Below are 21022 nucleotides of genomic sequence, written 5' to 3' on the forward strand. Positions count from 1 at the left end.
CTCTTGATTCTGTCACTCTCATGGTCCTTGGCCCCTCCGGCCCCACCCCAGTAGTCCCTCTGCCCCCCACAGCGGTCTCCGTTGTGGTTCCTGCTTCCCCATGGCTCCGCCCTCCAGGCCCATGTCAACAGGCTGATTTTTTATAAGGGTTCATGTGCCAGGTATAATCTTGGCTCATCTGAAGGAATGACATCTTTCCTTAGAAGGCTCGGTGGGCGTGGCCTGGCTCCCAATACGCTTTCCTTAGAAGGCTCAGTGGGTGTGGCCTGGCTCCCAATAAACTGCTGTGGGTGGAGCATCTTTCCTTAGAAGGCTCAGTGGGTGTGGCCTGGCTCCCAATAAACTGCTGTGGGTGGAGCATCTTTCCTTAGAAGCTCGGTGGGCGTGGCCTGGCTCCCAATACGCTTTCCTTAGAAGGCTCAGTGGGTGGCCTGGCTCCCAATAAACTGCTGTGGGCAGGGCATGTTTCCTTAGAAGGCCCAGTGGGCGTGGCCTAGCCCCTAAGAAACTGCTGAGGGGGGTTATCTCTCCTTAGAAGGCTCAGTGGGTGTGGCCTAGCTCCCAATAAACTGCTGTGGGCGGGGCATCTTTCCTTAGAAGGCTCAGTGGGTGTTGCCTAGTCCCCAAGAAACTGCTGTGGGCAGGGCATCTTTCCTTATAGGGCTTGGTGTGCCTGGCCTAGCTCCCAAGAAATTGTGGTAGGTGGGGCATCTTTCCTTAGAAGGCTCAGTGGGTGTGGCCTAGCTCCCAAGAAACTGCTGTGGGTGGGGCATCTTTCCTTATAGGACTCAGTGGGCCTGACCTAGCGCCCAAGAAACTGTTGTGGGCGGGGCATCTTTCCTTAGAAGGCTCAGTGGGTGTGGCCTAGCTCCCAAGAACGTGCTATGGGCGGGGCATCTTTCTTTAGAAGGCTCAGTGGGTGTGTCCCAATCCCTAAGAAATGGCTGTGGGTGGGGCATATTTTCTTATAACGCTTAGTGGGCGTGGCCTAGGTACTAAGAAACTGCTATTCAAGGGATGGTCCCTGAGACCTGCCTTCCAGGGTCCGTGCAGGACCTTTCCCCCTCCCTAGTGCTGAGCTACAGGCCCCTTCCGCCCTGCAGAAGGATCCCGCAAACGTGGATTACGAGGATCTCTTCCTCTACTCCAACGCAGTGGCCGAGGAAGCTGCCTGCCCGGTGTCTGCCCCTGAGGAGGTATGTATATGACAGGAGGCTGGCACCTCCCACCTGGCTGAGGGGCAGGAGTGGAGGTGGTCAACAGCTTCCAGAGGAGGCTCCTTCTAGAATGAGAATGCGATCCTACAGCTTGGTGCTTTAAACCTTTCCAGTGCTTTTGCAACACCGAGATTAAAATTCAAACTACAATCTGAGGTCCTCTTTCTGCCTGTCACCTACCCAGCGCCAGCCCTGCTGCCATACCGTCTGTTGTTCAGACACACCAAGCTAGCCTCGGGGTCTCTGCGTGTGCCGGCCCCACCTCAGGTCCTTTGCACAAACTGTGTGCCCTGCCCCTAGATTTCCCATGTCTTCATTCATTTCTCCTTCAAGTGCCTCCTTCCCCAGGCCCCAGACCTAAAGCAACACCTTCTGGATTCTCCTTCACATTACCCTGTTTATTCACTGCAGCGGACTTCCCAAAAGTGTTCCTCAAAATCCTATTTACTTATGGGTTTACATGCTCCCTGGCTGCCTTTCCAGTCAGACTGTGAGCTCTGAGAGACTGGAGACTCCATCTGGCTTGTTTGCCTTTGCTTCTCCCACCCCTCTGAAAGGACCTGCCATATTGAAGGTGCTTAACTAATGAATCTGTGGAGTAGATGAATGAATGTATCACAGCATCTTGGGGTTTGGGAGACCTTTAGGCACCCCTAGGTTGAAGTCTAAGTGCTCTCCAAGCCCCCTGCCCAGCAGGGGAAGTTATGACAGTGGTACAAATGAAACAGGCTGGTGTGATGGACATCAGTGGAGGTGGGGGGTGCAAGTGGGGGAAGGCAGTCAGGGAAGGCTTCCTAGAGGAGGTGGCTTATAGCTGAGATCTGCAAGGTGAGGAGGAGCCAGTCATACACACAGACACAGGGAGGACATTCCAGGCAGCGGGAATGGCACTTGCAAAAGTCCTGGGGCTTGGTGTGTTTGGAAAACAGAACAAAAAAAGCCAGCATATAGATGGATTGGGGTTAGTGAGAGAGAGATTGTCAGAAGTTGAAGCCCCAGGGTCAGGAAGGGCCAATAGTGCAGGGCCTTGGAGCCAAGGTGAGGAGCTGGGATTCTAGTCCAGTTGCACCAGGGAGGAGCCAAAGGAGAGTGTATGCATGGGAGGACTTTTTTTTTTTTTTTTTTTGAGACGGAGTCTTGCTTTGTCGACCAAGCTGGAGTGGAATGGCACAGTCTAGGCTCGCTGCAACCTCCGCCTCCCAGGTTCAAGCGATTCTCCTGCCTCAGCCTCCTGAGTAGCTGGGACTACAGGTGCGTGCTAATTTTTGTATTTTTAGTAGAGACGGGGTTTCACCATGTTGGCCAGACTGGTCTCAAACCCCTGACCTCATGATCCGCTCACCTCGGCCTCCCAAAGTGCTGGGATTATAGGCGTGAGCTACCACACCTGGCCGGAACTGGTGGTTTTAAATGTTTCCTGTGGCTACTGGCTGCAGAAGGGGCTTTCCTGGGCACTGGTGGAGATGGAAAGAAGGAGGAAGTGAGGTGGGGGTGGAGGACAGTGTCAAGGTGGGAGGGACAAAAATGAGAGCCCAGGTGTGGAAAGAAACATGGATATTTGGTCTGCGTAGTGGCTCACACCTGTATTCCCAGTGCTTTGGGAGGCTGAGAGGAGAGGATTGCTTGAGGCCAGGACTTTGAGACCAGCCTGGGCAACACAGCAAGCCCGTCTCCACAAAAAATAAAAAAATTAGCCAGGCATGGTGGCGCACGCCTGTAGTCAGCTACTCTGGGGGCTGAGGTGGGAGGATTGCTTGAGCCTGGGAGGTCGAGGCTGCAGTGAGCCATGATTGCACCACTGCACTCCAGCCTGGGTGACAAAGCAAGACCCTCTCAAAAAAAAAAAAGATTTGTAGAGATGGGGTCTCACTACATTGCCCAGGCAGGTCTCAAACTCCTGGCCTCAAAAAATCCTCCTGCCTCAGCCTTCCAAAGCACTGGGATTACAGGCATGAGCTATCACACCTGGCCCCACATTTTTGTAAAGATAGTATTTTGTAACCTGTGAAAATCAGATAAAATTCATATTTCCATGTTTATCAATAAAGCTATATTAGAACCCAGGCACGCTCATTGGTTCACGTGTGACCTCTGGCATCCGCTACAACAGCAGAGCTACATAATTGAGACGGATGGTACAGCCTGCAAAGTTGAAATATTTACTCTCTGACTCTTTGTAAAAGAAGTTTGCCAGGCCAGGTGCGGTGGCTCTCATCTGTAATCCCAGCACTCTGGGAGGCCGAGGTGGGTGGATCACCTGAGGTAAGGAGTTCAAGACCACCAGGGCCAACATGGTGAAACCATGTCTCTACTGAAAATACAAAAATTAGCCAGGCGTGGTGGTGTGCTTTTGGTTCTAGCTACTTGGGAGGCTGAGGCAGGAGAATCGCTTGAACCCAGGAGGTGGAGGTTGCAGTGAGCCGAGATTGTGCCACTGCACTCCAGACTGGGCGACAGAGTGAAACTCCATCTCAAAAAAAAAAAAAGGAAGAAGAACAAGTTTGCCAACCCCTGGGGGAGACAGTGAAGCCATTTACTGAGACGAGAAAGATGGGGCATGGGATCAGGTTTGGGGGTTCACACGGGGACGTTTCTCAGCCACAGGGTGTCTGGGTGGAACCCAGGCTCCAATTTCTGGGACAGACATGGTGCTCTGGTGGGCAAGCTGCCCCAGGCCTCCCCTACTCTCATTTTCAGGCCTCCCCAAAGCCAGTCCTGTGTCACCAATCAAAGGAAAGGAAGCCGTCAGCAGAGATGAACAGAATAACCACCAAGGAAGCCACTTCCTCCTGCCCCCCAAAATCCCCTCTTGGAGAGACCCGCCAGAAACTCTGGAGGAGCCTCAAAATGCTCCCCGAGAGAGGCCAGAGGGTCCGGCAGCAGCTAAAAAGCCACCTCGCCACTGTGAACTTGTCGTCACTCTTGGATGTCCGGAGATCCACGGTGATCTCAGGCCCTGGGACCGGAAAAGGCAGCCAAGATCACTCAGGGGATCCCACCTCGGGGGACAGAGGCTACACGGATCCCTGTGTGGCCACATCTCTCAAAAGCCCCTCACAGCCCCAGGCACCAAAAGACAGAAAGGTCCCCACCAGGAAGGCCGAGAGGTCGGTCAGCTGCATTGAGGTGACCCCAGGGGACAGGAGTTGGCACCAAATGGTAGTGAGAGCCCTATCCTCCCAGGAGTCCAAGCCAGAGCACCAGGGCTTGGCAGAGCCTGAGAACGACCAGCTCCCGGAGGAGTACCAACAACCGCCACCCTTTGCCCCTGGGTACTGCTAGAGAACAGGTCCACCCTGGCTCTGGGACTCGCTGCCAGGGGCTGCCACACTCCTGAATGCCTTAACATTTCTTCCATGGCCCCACACCATGGCATCCGGGGGTCTTCGGGAACCCGGGAAATGGAATAAAGATGTTTTTGGGGTCTGTTCCTGCACTCACCCATGGGGTGAGCTGGTTATTTTAGCAACAATCATCAGAGTGACGCTGATGGTTTGGGGCACCAGCTATACATCAGCCCCAGTGCCAGACCTTCTATTCATTATTTTACGCCTCAGAGCAAGGCCCTCAGGGAGGGTCATCCTCCATGTTTTGAAGAAGAGACTGAGGTTCAGAGAGGATAAGAGGCGTGACCAAGGCCACAGAGCTATGGGTGTCAGCACCAGGATTTGAAGCCAGGTGAATCCGAGCCCTTTTCCCATATCATCTGTTTGTTCTGTTGTCTAAAAGCACACTGCAAGCCGGGCTCAGTGGCTCATGCCTGTAGTCCCAGCACTCTGTGGGGCCGAGGCAGGCAGATCGCTTGAGGTCAGGAGTTCGAGACCAGCCTGGCCAACATGGTGAAACCCCGTCTATACTAAAAAATTCAAAAATTACCCGGACGTGGTGGCGCATGCCTGTAATCCCAGCTACTTGGGAGCCTGAGGCGGGAGAATTGCTTGAACCCGGGAGGCAGAGGTTGCAGTGAGCCGAGATCGCATCACTGCAGTCCAGCCTGGATGACAGAGTGAGACTCCATCTCAAAAAATAAATAAATAAATAAAAATGAAATTAAAAAATAAAAGCACGCTGCAGGGTCTCTCTCCAACCGGAGCTTCGTCCAGGCTCAACTCCGAGTGTGTCCCCAGCGGCACCATTGGCTGTTCATGCCTTCCTCCTGGGGTTTTCATGCAGATGAAGGAGACGAGTTGTGTTGAGGGCCTGGTGTGCAGTAGGCACTTGGACATCATCAGTGTTGGCTTCAGGAGAAGCACATGAGCGTCTTTCCTTTAAAAAGGGAAGAGGCAGCCGGGCGTGGTGGCTCACACCTGTAATCCCAGCACTTTGGGAGGTCGAGGCAGGTGGATCATGAGGTCAGGAGATTGAGACCATCCTGGCTAACACGGTGAAACCCCGTCTCTACTAAAAATACAAAAAATTAGCCAGGTGTGGTGGCGGGCACCTTTAGTCCCAGCTACTCGGGAGGCTGAGGCAGGAGAATGGCGTGAACCCAGGAGGCGGAGCTTGCAGTGAGCCAAGATCATACCACTGCACTCCAGCTTGAGTGACAGAGTGAAGAGTCTGTCTCAAAAAAAAAAAAGGGAAGAGGCAGCCGTGTGTGGTGGCTCATGCCTGTAATCCCAGCACTTGAGGAGGGTGGGAGGTGGGAGGATTGCTCAAGCCCAGGATTTCAAGACCAGCCTGGGCAACATGGCAAGGCCTCGTATCTACAAAAATTCAAAAAATTAGCCAGGTGTAGTGGCACACACCTGTAGTCCCAGCTATTTGGGAGGCTGAGACGGGAGGATCATCTGACCCCAGGAGTTCAAGGCTGCAGTGAGTCATGATCACCCCACTTCAGCCTGAGCAACAGAGAGAGACCTTGTCTCAGAAAAGAAAAAAAAAAAAAAGAAAGAAAAAGCTGGCCGGACGCAGTGGCTCACACCTCTAATCCCAGCACTTTGGGAGGCCAAGGCAGGTGGATCACCTGAGGTCAGGAGTTCAAAACCAGCCTGGCCAACATGGTGAAACCCCGTCTCTACTAAAAACTACAAAAATTAGCCAGGCATGGTGGCTTGCGCCTGTAATCCCAGCTACTCAGGAGACTGAGGCAGGAGAATCGCTTGAACCTGGGAGGCGGAGGTTGCAGTGAGCCAAGACCAAGCCACTGCACTCCAGCCTGGGTGACAGAGCAAGACTCCAGACTGGGTGACAGAGCAAGACTCCATCTCAAAAAAAAAAAAGGCTGGGGACGGAGGAGGCATCACAGGGCCATGATGGTGGAGGGCTCTGGAGGGAATCCTAGGTTGTGGGGCTGTGTGACCTTTGGCAAGTCTAGACATCTCTGGGCCTACTTTCTTACCTGGAAAATGAGAAGAGCAGTCCCTCTTCAGGATGAACTGGCAGAATGCATGTAAAACCTGGGACTTTGGTGCACAGTAGGTGTTTTTCTTTTTTTTTCTTTTTCTTTGAGACGGAGGAGTTTTGGTCTGTCGCCCAGGCTGGAGTGCAGTGGTTCGACCTCGGTCCACTGCAACCTCTGCCTCCTGGTTCAATTGATTCTCCTGCCTCAGCCTCCTGAGTAGCTGGGACTACAGGAATGCACCACCACATCCAGTTACTTTTTGTATTTTTGGTAGAGACAGGGTTTCACCATGCTGCCCAGGCTGGTCTCGAATTGCTGGGCTCAGGCGATCTACCCGCCTCAGCCTCCCAAAGTGTTGGGATTACAGGCGTGAGCCACTGTGCCTGGCTCCTTTTTTTTTTTTTTTTTGGACAGAGTCTCGCTCTATTGCCCAGGCTGGAGTGCAGTAGCACGATCTCTGGTCACTACAACTTCCCTTTCCTGGGCTCAAGCGATCCTCCCACCTCAGCCTCCCAAGTAGCTGGGACTACAGGCATGCACCACCACACCCAGCTAATTTTTGTATTTTTGGTAGAGACAGGGTTTCACCACGTTGCTGAGGCTGGTCTCAAATTCTTGGGCTCAGACAATCTGCCCACCTTGGCCTCCCAAATGCTGGGGTTACAGGCTTGAGCCACCGTGCCCAGCCCAGTAGCTGCTTAATTTATTAGCGGGTTAAGATGGGAGTGAGCTCTCTAGACATGACATACTGTACAATGGAGGTGTCTGGGAAGGTCCCTAGGGGCTGGTCTTGGTTGCAGGAGTGACTACTCCTTGGACTGACTGGGGCATAGATGGGGGCCCTGGGGCAACCCCAGGTGGAGGGGGTGTGGGGTTCCCCAAATGTACAAGGTTCAGACATCTGGGATCTGGTATGAGGTGCACCTGGGTTCAAGCCCGCCCCTGCAAATGACTTGTGGGGTGGCCTTAGGCAAGTCACTCTGCTCCCTCCAAATGAGGGCATGATCCTCGGCCAACTCTGCAGGGATGTTATAGGGGGTCAGTGTCACGTTAGGGGGCAGATGCATCATAAACTGTAAAGTGCAGCAGCCACCTCAGTGAATGACATTTCCACCCCTCCCAATCAGTGGTCTCCTCTTGGCAGCTCTAATGAGTCAGCCCGGGAGGAAAAGTTTCAATCCCTTTGATGACTCAGGGTTTGAGGGATAAAAAGAAACTTGAGTAGTGAAGGGTGAGGTTTGGCCTTCAGAGTGGGAACCCTGGGGTAGGACAGCACGGGCCCGATCTCCCCACCACCTCACCTCCGCCACGGACACCCACAACAAGGCATTTCCAGCCTTCACAGTGAAGACGATCTAGGAGTCACCCCTTCCTTGTACAAACAGGGAGATCGTGGCCCAGAGAGGGTGTGGCCACACTCAGGGTCACACAGCAAAGTCAAAGATAAAATTCTACGCCGCCTCCCTCCCATCTTCCAGTTTTAAGGTGGAAAAATGTGTCCTCCCAGCAGGTGTGACTCAGTGACTTGTGTTTATTCTCAGAAACCAGAGTCCACAGCGGGTGAGGGGTCACCCCGCCCTCCTATAGCTCGGCTCCTCTGTGGTGCCATCAGATTCGGATGTGGAAGGTGCTGTGTGCAGAGAGAAAAGGAGTCAAGGCCTTCAAGGAGTGGACAACCCCTTTTCCTCCTCCCCCTCAACACGCTCACGGCAAGTCCCTGGGACAGGCAGGAAGGATGCCACATGGACCCCTCAAACAACCCTAGGCCGGGAGACCCCTACAGGGGCTGAGAGCACATGCCTTTAATTTTTTAATTCTTTTTTTTTTTTTTTTTTTTTTGAGATGGGGTCTTGCTCTGTCTCCCAGGCTGTAGTGCAGTGGTGTGATCTTGGCTCACTGCAACCTCTGCCTCCTGGGTTCAAGTGATTCTCATGCCTCAGCCTCCCGAGTAGCTAGGATTACAGGTGCATGATACCACGCCCAGTTAATTTTTCTATTTTCAGTAGAAACGGAGTTTCTCAACTTGCTTTGTTGCCCAGGCTGGTCTGGAACTCCTGTGCTCAAGCGATCCACCCACCTTAGCTTCCCAAAGTGCTAGGATTACAGGCATGAATCACCACATCCTGCCATATGATATAAAGTTTCAAATAGCTAGAAGAAGGATACTGAATGTTCTCAACACAAATAAATGATACATGTTTGAGATGATGGATATGCTAATGACCCTGATCTGCTCATCATACATTATATGTATCGAAACCATTATGTGGCCTGGTGCAGTGACTCACCCCTGTAATCTCAGGACTTTGGGAGGCCAAGGCAGGAGGATCAGTTGAGGCCAGGAGTTTGAGAACAGCCTGGGCAACAAGGCAAGACCTTGTCTCCACAAAAAAAAAAAAAAAAAAAAAAAGTTTTTAGTTAGCTAGGCGTGGTGGTGTGTGCCCGTACTCCCAGCTACTCAGGAGGCTGAGGTGGGAGGATTGCTCTTGAGCCCAGGAGGTAGAGGCTGCAGTGAGCTATGATTGTGCCACTGCACTCCAGCCTGGGCAACAAAGTGAGACCCTGTCTCAACATTTTCAGCACTGCCTCAGCTTATAGATAAAAACAAAAACAGGCCGGGCATGACGGCTCACGCCTGTAATCCCAGCACTTTGGGAGGCCAAGATGGACAGATCACCTGAGGTCAGGAGTTCAAGACCAGCCTGGCCAACATGGCGAAACCTTATCTCTACTAAAAAAATACAAAAATTAACCGGGCGTGGTGGCGGGCGCCTGTAATTCCAGATACTCGGGAGGCTGAGGCAGGGAGAAGTGCTTGAACCTGCGAGGTGGAGGTTGCTGTGAGCCGAGATCGTGCCACTGCACTCCATCCTGGGTGACAGAGCGAGACTCCATCTCAAAAAAATAAAATAAAATAAATTAATTAATTAATAAAATAAAACAAACAAAATTAGCCAGGCACAGTGGCACGTACCTGTAGTCCCAGCTACTTGGTTTATTCTTATTTTATTTCTTTTTTCTTTTCTTTTCTTTTTTTTTTTTTTTTTTTTTTGAGACAGAGTCTCGCTCAAGCTGGAGTACAGTGGCGCAATCGTGGCTCACTGCAAACCTCCACCTCCCAGGTTCGGGTTCAAGTTACTCTCCTGCCTCAGCCTCCCGAGTAGCTGGGACTAGAGGTGTGCCCCACCATGCCCAGGCTAATTTTTGTATTTTTAGTAGAGACTACTGCCTCAGCCTCCTAAAATGCTGGGATTACAGGTGTGAGCCACTGCGCTCGGCCCCGTAGTCCCAGCTACTTAGGAAGCTGAGGTGGGAGGATCTCTTGAGCCGAGGAGTTAGAGGCTGCAGTGAGCCGATTGCACCATGCACTGCAGTCTGGGTCACTGAGTGAGACCCTGTCTCAAAACAAACAAACGGGCTGGGCGTGGTGGCTCACGCTTGTACTCCCAGCAGTCTGGGAGGCCACAGTAGGTGAATCACTTGAGGTCAGGAGTTCAAGACCAGCCTGGCCAACATGACAAAACCCTGTCTCTACTAAAAATACAAAAATTAGCTGGGCATGGTGGCACGTGCCTGTAATCCCAGCTACTCGGGAGGCTGAGGCAGGAGAATCACTTGAACCCAGGAGGTGGAAGTTGCAGTGAGCTGAGATTGCACCACTGCACTCCAGCCTGGGCAACAGAGCAAGACTCCGTCTCAAAACAAACAAACAAACAAAAAGAAACATCACTGTGTACCCCATGAATATGTACAATCATTATTTGTCAATTCAAAAAATAAAAAATAAAGTGAAATTTAAAAATTATAAGATAATAATAGCAACAGCAATTTATTAAACACCTATTGTGTGCCAGGAGCTGTGCTGAATTTTCTCCATATATTAATTTGGGGTTCAGCAAACCTTTTTCTGTAAATGGCCAAATAGTTGATGTTTTCAACTTTATACCATGACGCAACTCTGTTGTTGAAGCACACAAGCAGCCATAGACAAAATGTACACAAATGGGTGTGGCTGTGAGCCAATACAACTTTACTGATGGACACAGAAAAGTGAATTTCGTATCACTGTCACGTGTCATGGAATAATCTTTTTTTAAATTAAAAAAAAATTTTTAATGTGTTTATTTATTTTTGAGACAGAATCTCACTCTGTGACCCAGGCTGGAGTGCATGGCACAATCTGAGCTCACTGCGGCCTTGACCTCCTGGGCTCAAGCAATCCTCCCGCCTCAGCCTCCCAAGTAGCTGGGACTACAGGCATGCACCACCATACCTGGCTATTTATTTATTTATTTATTTGTAGATATGGACTCTCCTTATGTTCCCCAGTTTGGTCTCAAGCTCCTGGGGTCAAGAGATCCTCCCCACTTAGCCTCCCAAAGTGCTGGGATTAAAGGCATGAACCACCCCACCTGGTTGGAATATTATTATTCTTTGATTGTTTTTTGATCTTTTGAAAATATAAAAGCCATTCTTAGCTCACAGGAGGTACAAAACCAGGCTTTGGGTCAGACTGGCCTATTGGCCGTACTTTGCCCTGCAGTGGCGGCTGATTTTCCCCAAAGGCTGCCAAGTACAGTTACACAGTCTGTTCACTGCAAACTGTTCAGGCAACAAGGGCTGAAGTCCAGCCACATTCTGCTTGCTGAAAGAGGTGTATCCACTCGCAAGAGGTGCCCAGGGGGTCCCTAATTATCCCCATTTTACAGATGCAGGGACTGAGACTAGGGAAATTGAGAAAGTTTCCCAAGGTCATGAAAGAATGAATAGAGGAATTTTCAGAAACAGAGTCTGTGAACTGTCTGCGTAAGAGCCCCTTCAGATGTGCAAATGGACTGTGGGCGGTGACGGAGAGCATCACCTGAGGAAGTCTGGTGCCCGGAGGATCATGTTCTGGAAATCTTCCAGGGACAGCCGCCCATCATGGTCTCCATCAGCCTCATCCAGCACCTTCTCACATACCAGGCTCACCTCCTCGGCACTCAGCCCCCCCCGCGTCAGTTTGGTCACCGTCTGCTCCAGGTCCCACGCACAAATGTAGTCGTCGTTGTTAAAATCTGCAGAGCAGGATGGATGGGGAGTGACAGCAGGTGGCAGGAGGGCTAGGCCGGCTGTGGGCACATACTGTGCCCATGTTACAAGAAGGGGAAACTAAGGTCGGGCACGGTGGCTCACGCCTGTAATCCCAACACTTTGGGAGGCTGAGGAGGGTGGAACACCTGAGGTCAGGAGTTCGAGACCAGCCTGGCCAACATGGTGAAATCCCATCTCTACTAAAAATACAAAAATACCCAGGTGTGGTGGCATGCACCTGTAATCCCAGCTATTCAGGAGGCTGAGGCAGGAGAATCACTTGAGCCCGGGAGGTGGAGGTTGCAGTGAGCCAAGATCTCACCACTGCACTCCAGCCTGGGCAGCAAGACAGAAACTCCGTCCAAAAAAAAAAAAAAAAAAAAGGAACTGAGGCCCTGGGAGGGCACCCGAGACCCTGGTGTAAAATCTGGAACTTGCCTTAAAATTGGGCAGGGACCTGCTGGGAGTTCATTCATTCATTCAACAAGTATTTATGCAATGAATTTTTCATTCGTTCTTTTTTTTTTTCTTTGAGACGGAGTCTCGCTCTGTCGCCCAGGCTGGAGTGCAGTGGCACGATCTCGGCTCACTGCAACCTCCACCTCCTGGGTTCAAGTGATTCTCCTGCCTCAGCCTCCCAAGTAGCTGGGATTACAGGTGCCTGCCACCATGCCCGGCTAATTTTTGTGTTTTTAGTAGAGATGGGATTCCCCATGTTGGCCAGGCTGGTCTCAAATTCCTGACCTCAGGTGATCCACCCACCTCGGTCTCCCAAAGTGCTAGGATTACAGGTGGAAGCCACCACACCCAACCTCATTCATTCATTTTTACAAGCATTGAGTGCCTGCTGTGTGCTAGGCACTGTAATAACTTTTTTATTCACTCATACAAGTATTTATTGAGCATCTACTATGTGTCAGGCATCACAGTAACTGATTTTCATTCACTCACTCACTCAACAAGTATTTATTGAGTGCAATTTTCATTCATTCACTCACTTAACAAGTATTTATTGAGTGCCTACTGTGTCCTGGCACTGTGATAATAATTTTTCATTTACTCATTCAAAAAACAGTTATGGGCCCGGCGCAGTGGCTCATGCCTGTAATCCCAGCACTTTGGGAGGTGGAGATGGGTAGATCACCTAAGGTCAGGAGTTCCAGGCCAGCCTGGCCAACATGGTGAAACCCCATCTCTACTAAAATTACAAAAATTAGCGGGGCGTGGTGCGGGTGCCTGTAATCCCAGCTACTAGGTAGGCTGAGGCAGGAGAATCGCTTGAACCCAGGGAGTGGAAGTTGCAGTGATCTGAGATCGCGCCATTGCACTCCAGCCTGGGCGACAAGAGTGAGACGCTGTCTCAGTAAAAAAATAAATAAATAAAAATAGTTATTGAGTGCCTACTATGTGCCAAACACTGTGACAGCTCTTTCATTCATTTATTCAAGTATTTCTTGAACACGTACTACGTATCAAGCACCATGATATCTGTTTTTCATTTATTCACTCACTCAACAAGTATTTATTGAGTGCCTACTGTGTAGTGGGCACTGTGATAACTTTTTTCATCTATTCACTCAAAAAGTACTTTTTAACTGCTTACTGTGCACCAGGCACTGTAATAACTTTTTCATTTATTCATTCATTCATTCATCCATTCAGGAAGTATTTATTGAGCACCTACTACATGTTGGGCACCATAACTCTTTTATTCACTCACTCAACAAGTATTAGTGTCTACTGTGTGCCAGGTACTCTGATAACTTTTTCATTCATTCATTCATGCAACAAGTATTTATTGAGCACCTACTATGTGTTGGGCACCATGATAACTATTTTTCATGTACTCACTCAAAAAGTATTATGGTGGCAGGGCACGGTGGCTCATGCCTGTAATCCTGCCACTTTGGGAAGCCGAGGTGGGTGGATCACTTGAGGTTAGGAGTTCAAGACCAGCCTGGCCAACATGGTGAAACCCCATCTTTACTAAAAATACAAAAATTTGGCTGGGCGTGGTGGTTCATGCCTGTAATCCCAGCACTTTGGGAGGCTGAGGCGGGTGGATCACCTGAGGTCAGGAGTTCGAGACCAGTCTGGCCAACATGGTGAAACTCCGTCTCTACTAAAAATACAAAAAATTAGTCAGGCGTTGTGGCAGGCACCTGTAATCAATCTCAGCTACTCAGCAGGCTGAGGCAGGAGAACTGCTTGAACCCGGAAGACGGAGGTTGCAGTGAGCTGAGATCGCGTCACTGCACTCCAGTCTGGGGGACAGAGCAAGACTTTGTCTCACAAAAAAAAAACACACACACAAAAAAAACAAGTATTTATTGAGTGCACACAAGGTGCCAGGCACTAAGATAACTGTTTTTCTTTCATTCAGTCATTCAACAAATATTTACTGAGCCAGGCTCAGATGACAGGTGGTGAGCAAAATAGATACTGTTGGTACCTTTGAGTCTTCTCAGGGACAAAGTCAATAAGAAGTGAACAGGTCAAGGAACAAGAAATTAAGCAGCATTGCCTGGTGCTAGAAGAGAAATAGGATGGTGGGATGGGGGGATGAATGGGGAGAGGCCTACTTTTGACCTAGACTTCAAGGGTAAGAAGGAGCCAGGGGAGCTGGGTGCGGTGGCTCACGTCTGTAATCCCAGCACTTTGGGAGGCCGAGGCGGGCGGATCACCCGAGGTCAAGAGTTCGAGACAAGCCTGGCCAACATGGTGAAACCCCGTTTCTACTAAAAATACAAAAATTAGCCAGGCGTGATGGCACCTGCCTGTAATCCCAGCTACTCGGAAGGCTGAGGCAGAAGAATCACTTGAACCTGGGAGGCGGAGACTGCAGTAAGCCAAGATTGAGCCACTGCACTCTAGCCTGGGCAAAAAGAGCGAAACTCCATCTCAAAAAAATAAAAAATAAAAATCAATAAATAAATAAGGAGCAAGGCGAAAGGTGTTCTAGGCAGAGGGTTCAGCAGAGGCAAAGGCCCAGAGGCCGAAGACTGTGTTTGAGGAACAGCAAGGCCCATGTGGCTGGAATAGAGTTAGCAAATAAATGAGGTGGGGAGGCATTGGAGTGGGGTGGAGGACAGGGCCACATAGGGCCTCAAAACCCCTGGGGAGATATTTGTGATGTGGGTGCCACCCACCCAGTTCCCACTCCCCACCCCATCCCCATGCTTCCCAACCCCAGGGCCACGCACGCACCATAAATTTTAAAAGCATAGTAAGCCTTGAGGTCGCGGGGAGCCATTTCACTCATCACGGAAAACATGTCCAAAAAGTTGTCCAGGGTCATGTGGCCATCCCCATCCTCAGAGAATACCTGGGCAATCCTCTGGCGGAAGGGGTTGTCCTGGGGACAGAAAGGAAGCTGGGAGGCCATCCTCTGACCCCCAAGGTCTCTGGGGTCCATGTGGTCTCACTATCAGCACCCACCTTCTGGGAACCTCCAAGTACCCTCCATCAAGACCCACTCCCTCCCATGGTCCCTGGACAGGACTTTGGACAACTCCACCCTCCACCCCTGTGATCTGAGCAACCTTGCCCCAACTTCCAGCTCTTGGAGCAGCCATGTGACCCAGGCAAGGCCAATCAGAGAGTTCCATTCACCTGGCAATAGTGATTGGCTCTGTGATGGGCATGTGACTCAAGCTAGCCAATCAGAGGCTGACCTGGGATATTTTTCTGAAAAATTGGGAGGGAGGGGACCTGATTACTGCTGCTTGCAAAGCTCACAGAAGCTAAAGCTGAGTGGCTGAGAGGTCCCTTCACAGCCTCAAGAGGTGAGGCTGCCTTAGACTGAAACCTCTTCCTGGGAGGAGCCGAGATATGGGGGGAGATTCCTGAGCACATCATCAGAGGCCCTGGTTCCAGCTGTACCTGACACTGTCCCTGCCTCTGGATTTTTTTGTTGTTGTTCAGGGGCAATCCATTTTGATCCAAACCATTCTGTCCCTCTCAAATAAGGTTTTTGTCACTTGCAATAAAATCAACCCTACTCACAGTCAGTTACTCAACCCACAAGTTCCCCTTGGAGGCACAAACCATGTGTCAAACATCCTGCTGATAAAAACCTGCATTTAGCAGCTCCTGTTACAAGAAGAACTAACGTTCTCTGAGTACTTGACACACAACACACCCTGTACTGAATTTGTTGCCTGTATTATCTCGTTTCATCCTCCCAATTCTGGGTGTTTTTTGTTTGTTGTTTGTTTGTTTGTTTGTTTTTTGAGACAGAGTCTCACTCTGTCGCCCAGGCTGGAGTACTGTGGCTAGATCTCTGCTCACTGCAACCTCCACCTCCTGAGTTCAAGCAATTCTCCTGCCTCAGTCTCCCTAGTAGCTGGGATTACAGGTGTGCACTACCACGCCCAGCTAATTTTTGTATTTTTAGTAGAGACGGGGTTTCACCATGTTGGCCAGGCTGGTCTCGAACTCCTGACCTCAGGTGATCCACCCGCCTCGGCCTCCCAAAGTGCTGGGATTACAGGCTTGAGCCACCACACCAGCCAACTCTGGGTTTTAACCCTGTCTCTGTCACATTGTAGCTGTGTGACCATGAACAAGTGTCTTAACCTCTCTGAGTCTCAGTTTTCTTATCTTTAAAATGGGGATAACTGCAGCACTGACCTCAGAGGAATGCAACGAGAGACATCTCTACTATTTTTTACCCTGTTTGTCCCATGGCCTGGGCATACCTTCAGCTCGGGCATGCTGCCAATGAGCTCGTAGGGCACCTTCACATCGGGGCAGGTGGTATAGTCGAGGGGCACGAGCTGTGGGGCCAGGTCCTGGTAGCGATAGAAGAGCCTGATGTGGGGAGGAAAAAGCTGGGAAAGACTGGGAGCAGGGAGCAGGCAAGACGCTTGTCCCTTCTTTGTTTTTTGAGACAGAGTCTCGGTCTGTCACCCAGGCTGGAGTGCAGTGGCACAATCTCGGCTCACTGTAACCTCTGCCTCCCGGGTTCAAGCAATTCTCCTGCCTCAGCCTCCCAAGTAGCTGGGATTACAGGCACACCCTGCCACGCCCGGCTAATTCTTTTGTATTTTTAGTAGCGACGGGGTTTCATGTTGGTCAGGCTGGTCTCAAACTCCTGACCTCAGATGATCCACCTGACTTAGCCTCCCAAAGTGTTGGGATTACAGGCGTGAGCCACCGCACCTGGCCAAGTCCCTTCTCTTTCACATTCACAGCTGCTCACTGCACACTGAGGTATACTGGGTCCCCAAGAACACTCAGCCCTGGGCCTGGACCTCAAGCATACAGAGCCTGACACAGGCACCCCTAACCTCCCTGGGGGCAGGGTCAAGGTGCAGAGAGGGCCACAGGACAAAGGGAGACTGGACTGGGGGAAGCAAGCTAGCGAGGAGAAGGGGGTTCCTGGAAGAGGGGACATTGGTTCTGGGCTTTGAAGCATGAGTAGGAGCTTCTAAAGCAGATGGAGTTGGGAGAAGGGAGGGTGCTTATGGCCAGATCACAGCAAGCATTCAGAGAATCCTATATAATCCACACATCTCTGGATATTGTCATGTTATCAGCAAGACCCTGCCTCCAAAGATACCTTCACTTTCATACCTTCCCTTCCTCTCCTTATAATGGGAGGAAGAGGCCGGATGCAGCGGCTCATGCCTGTAATCCCAGTACTTTGGGAGGCCGAGGCGGGTGGATCACCAGAGGTCAGGAGTTCGAGACTAGCCTGGCCAACATGGTGAAACCCCATCTCTACTGAAAATACAAAAAATTAGCTGGGCGTGGTGACGGGCACCTGTAATCCCAACTACTCGGGAGGCCGAGGCAGGAGAATCACTTGAACCTGGGAGCTGGAGGTTGCAGTGAGCTGAGATCGTGTCACTGCACTCCAGCCTGGGCAACAAGAACGAGACTCTGTCTCAAAAAAAAAAAAGAAAAGAAAAAAGAAAGAAAGAGGCCGGGCGCGGTGGCTCACGCCTGTAATTCCAGCACTTTGAGAGGCCGAGGCAGGTGGATCACGAGGACAGGAGATCAAGACCATCCTGGCTAACATGGTGAAACCCCGTCTCCACTAAAAATATAAAAATTTAGCCAGGCGTGGTGGTGGGCGCCTGTAGTCCCAGCTACTCCGGAGGCTGAGGCAGGACAATGGTGTGAACCCGGGAGGCGCAGCATGCAGTGAACCGAGATCAAGCCAGTGCACTCCAGCCTGGGCAACAGAATGAGACTCGGTCTCAATAAAAAAAATAAATAAATAAAAAATAAAAAAGAAAGAAAGAAAAGAAGAAAGAAAGAAAAAAAAGGAGGGATTCCTCAATGGGGCAGAGCAGAGACAAACAGCTAATAGTCACATTTTTTCTAAAGGGCAGACAAAAGATATTTTGCAAATAACTGAATACCACACACACTATCCAGATTATAAGGCCAGTTCTCCACTCAGAAGCCCTCACCTGTGACACCATACCTTCATTAGGGCATGCTGAGCAGCAGCCTTGCAGAGACCATCCTTGGTGGGTCTGAGGTCCCCAAGCTGCTAGGGACTGTCTCTGAGAGAGACATGAGTCCCTAGGTCATATGATGACTAGGAACTCAATGAAGGTGGGGTGGGGAGACCTAGAACTTTCATCCTGACCACTCAGTTCCCTGTCGGGGTCCCATCAGGGAATACCCTGGGTTTAGGTTTCTGTGTGGCTCTGAGCATGTTCCTCTCCTCTCCCTCTCTGTGCCTTGGTTATTCTATCTGATAAGCAAGAAGCTTGGGACAGACAAAATGTCTGTCCTTGGGGCCTTGGGGCTCTGTGCATTTACCCTTCAGCCTGGGATCAGCCCCGCCCTGTCTGAGCCTCAGTTTCCCCATCAGTAATTTGATCGTGATGGCCGAGGTGACCCTGCAAGCTGTCCTCACCCAAACAATGGGGCTCACTAGTAAAAGGTGTGGCCATCAATAATGGATGTCCTGTTACTACACAACTGGGGCCTTGGCCCCGATCACACTGCAGCTGAACCCTGGCCAGCTTGGGTTTCATAGCTCCAAGTTCATGGGTCGGGGCCCCTGGGCAATGGCCCCACAGGCCGAGTGATGATGTGGGATACTCATCTGTGCCCATCGTGCTGGGTCACGCCAGGGACCTGCAGCAGCCTTGGGCCACCTCCTCACACCCTCATCTTAATGCCAAGCCCACAACCCAGACTGGGCTCTGGACTTTGCACCTGGGCTCCCAGCCTCAAGTCCCAGTCTCAGGAGAATCTTTATCTTTCATTTTGTTTTTCTGAGGCAGAGTCTAGCTCTGTCACCCAGGCTGGAGCACAGTGGCGTGATCTCGGCTCACTGCAACCTCCACCTCCCAGGTTCAAGCAATTCTCCTGCCTCAGCCTCTTGAGTAGCTGGGATTACAGGCACCCACCACCTCGCCCAGCTGATTTTTGTATTATTAGCAGAGATGGGGTTTCACCATGTTGGCCAGGCTGATCTTAAACTCCTGACCTCAGGTGATCCACCCACCTTGTCCTCCCAAAGTGCTGGGATTACAGGCATGAGCCACCGCGCCCAGCCTCAGGAGAATCTTTCTAACGTGCTGATGGTCTCTCCCCTGCTCATGCATGCTCCATAGCTCCCTGCCACCCTTGGGAGAAAGCCCAAGCTCATCAGCCTAGAGACTGGGACAGTATGACAAGATGTGACTTGTCAGCTTCTCCATCTCTGCCTCTGTCCACTGACCACACCTGCCCCCCTTCCCCATTTGAGTCCCAACAAATTGGAAATACCAGTTGGGCATGGTGGCTCACACCTGTAATCCCAGCACTTTGGGAGGCTGAGGCAGGGGGATCGCTTGAGCCCAAGGGTTTAAGACCAGCCTGGGCAACATAGTGAGAGCCCCATCTCTATAAAAAAATACAAAAATGAGGTACATGTGGTGGCTCGCACCAGTGGTCCTAGCTACTCGAGAGGCTGAGGTGGGAGGATCACCTGACCTTGGGAGATCGAGCCTGCAATGAGCCATGATTGCACCACTGCACTCCAGCCCAGGCAATAGAGACAGACCCTGTCTCAAAAAAAAAGAAAAGAAGGAAGGAAGGAAGGAAGGGAGGGAGGGAGGGAGAGAGAGAGAGAAAAGAGAAAGAAAGAAAGAAAGACTACTTACACACACACACACACACACACACACACACACACACACACACACCAAATTGCAAATATCCTCCAGCAATGAATAGAAAGTTGTTTTTCCAGATCTTCTCTCCCTTCCTCCCTGGACTGACCTCATGATCTCCTTCCTTGTGAAAAATGTGCAGTCCTGTGGAGAGAGGTGTTGTCTTAACCCGAACCCTGCCTCTGGGGCCTCCTCCCACGGCCTCCTCCCTCCACCCCACACTCACACAGATGGCCTGATGCTGCCACACACAGAGCAGAACCAGGAACCCAGGCGGACGGTACACCCAGATGAAGGCATTCTGTTCCCATTTCCCAGACCACGGAACCAAAGTTGTCAAACCCACTGAGGACCCATCCTGCCCCCCTCTACCTGATACGCTTCCAGCTGCTCGTGTGTGAAGACTGTCTGCTTGTTGCCCATGGTGTGAACCACAGCCCAGACTTGGGGATGCACCCCAAAGGCTCCCAGCTTCCTCGGGGCCACACGGGTTGCCAGGCTGTTGTGTACCAGTGTCTGGGCAAATCTCCCTGCCCTGGCTGTCACCCACCCACCTACGCCATCACCCCCTGCTTGATGAGACTCAAATTACAGCCAGGCTCTCTGGACAACAGCCTGAATGTGTCCATGGGTAAGGATAAGGGCTGTGGGATGTCACAGAGAAGACCTCAGTGGGGAGGCCACATCTGCCACCACAAGGTGAGGCTGGGGTTATGGGGCACACTCAAGAGACAGGCAGGGTATACAGAAGGGCTATGGGCACACTGCAGCTCAAATCCCAGCTCTCTGCCCACTAGCTGTGTGGCCCTGGGCAAGTCACCTGACTTCTCTGAACCTCATTCATGAGATGAAAATTACATTATACCTACCTCATAGGGTCATTCTCAGGATCTGAGATTTAAAAAAAAAAAAAAAAGGTTTTGACTGGGCAAGGTGGCTCACACCTGTAATCCCAGCACTTTGGGAGGGCCAGGCAGGCGGATCACCTGAGGTCAGGAGTTCAAGACCAGCCTGGCCAACACGGCAAAACCCCATCTCTACTAAAAATACAAAAATTAGCTTGGCATTGTGACACATGCCTGTAATCCCAGCTACTCCAGAGACTGAGGCAGGAGAATTGCTTGAACCCAGGAGGTGGAGGTTGCAGTGAGCCGAGATCCCGCCATTGCACTCCAGACTGGGTGACAGAGTAAGACTCCATCTCCAAAAAAAAAAAAAAGGTTTTGGCTGGGCGAGGTGGCTCATACCTGTAATCCCAGCACTTT

General features: G+C 51.0%; 2 protein-coding genes across 17 annotated transcripts in view, besides 3 other annotated features; one reads left to right on the top strand and one right to left on the bottom strand.

Annotated features, from left to right (window-relative positions):
* The window catches only part of HSH2D (hematopoietic SH2 domain containing), a 24548-nt gene extending 19268 nt beyond the window's left edge, over positions 1-5280 (top strand). For 9 of the 15 annotated variants that reach the window (NR_163150.1, NR_111903.1, NR_163156.1 and 6 more), the window contains 2 exons: positions 1104-1196; positions 3915-5280. Coding sequence is in view for 6 of the 15 variants with exons in the window: in NM_032855.4 (NP_116244.1) it covers positions 1104-1196; positions 3915-4499 (678 nt within the window). In the remaining 9 variants the exon portion in view is untranslated. Of the gene's footprint in view, positions 1-1103; positions 1368-2346; positions 2469-3914 lie in introns of those variants that run through there. The other 6 variants (NR_163153.1, NR_163155.1, NR_163152.1 and 3 more) reach the window with 3 other exon arrangements.
* Positions 4682-4971: an enhancer, noted in NCBI's record as "active region_14214". NCBI's record gives its function as "activates an Ori minimal core promoter by ATAC-STARR-seq in GM12878 lymphoblastoid cells {active_cell/tissue: GM12878}" and the evidence as "EXISTENCE:reporter gene assay evidence [ECO:0000049][PMID:35858748]".
* Positions 6983-7072: an enhancer, noted in NCBI's record as "active region_14215". NCBI's record gives its function as "activates an Ori minimal core promoter by ATAC-STARR-seq in GM12878 lymphoblastoid cells {active_cell/tissue: GM12878}" and the evidence as "EXISTENCE:reporter gene assay evidence [ECO:0000049][PMID:35858748]".
* Positions 8073-20230, bottom strand: CIB3 (calcium and integrin binding family member 3). Of its 2 annotated transcripts, NM_054113.4 has the most exons (6): positions 20130-20230; positions 19867-19901; positions 16335-16446; positions 14842-14989; positions 11423-11618; positions 8073-8191 (listed from the first exon to the last, which is right to left on the bottom strand). In NM_054113.4, exons 1-6 carry the CDS (start codon positions 20178-20180, stop codon positions 8170-8172), a joined length of 564 nt encoding a protein of 187 aa, NP_473454.1. In that variant the 5' UTR covers positions 20181-20230; the 3' UTR covers positions 8073-8169. The 2 variants fall into 2 exon arrangements, with proteins under 2 accessions (NP_473454.1, NP_001287851.1); NM_001300922.2 differs by lacking the exons at positions 16335-16446; positions 19867-19901.
* Positions 15523-15817: a silencer, noted in NCBI's record as "tiled region #5225; HepG2 Repressive non-DNase unmatched - State 23:Low, and K562 Repressive DNase matched - State 9:DNaseU". NCBI's record gives its function as "represses a minimal TATA promoter and a strong SV40 promoter by Sharpr-MPRA in HepG2 and K562 cells {active_cell/tissue: HepG2 | K562}" and the evidence as "EXISTENCE:reporter gene assay evidence [ECO:0000049][PMID:27701403]".
* Positions 20231-21022: the final 792 nt, after the last annotated feature.

Source organism: Homo sapiens, chromosome 19, assembly GCF_000001405.40.
Source record: "Homo sapiens chromosome 19, GRCh38.p14 Primary Assembly".
NCBI classification, from domain to species: Eukaryota; Metazoa; Chordata; class Mammalia; order Primates; family Hominidae; genus Homo; species Homo sapiens.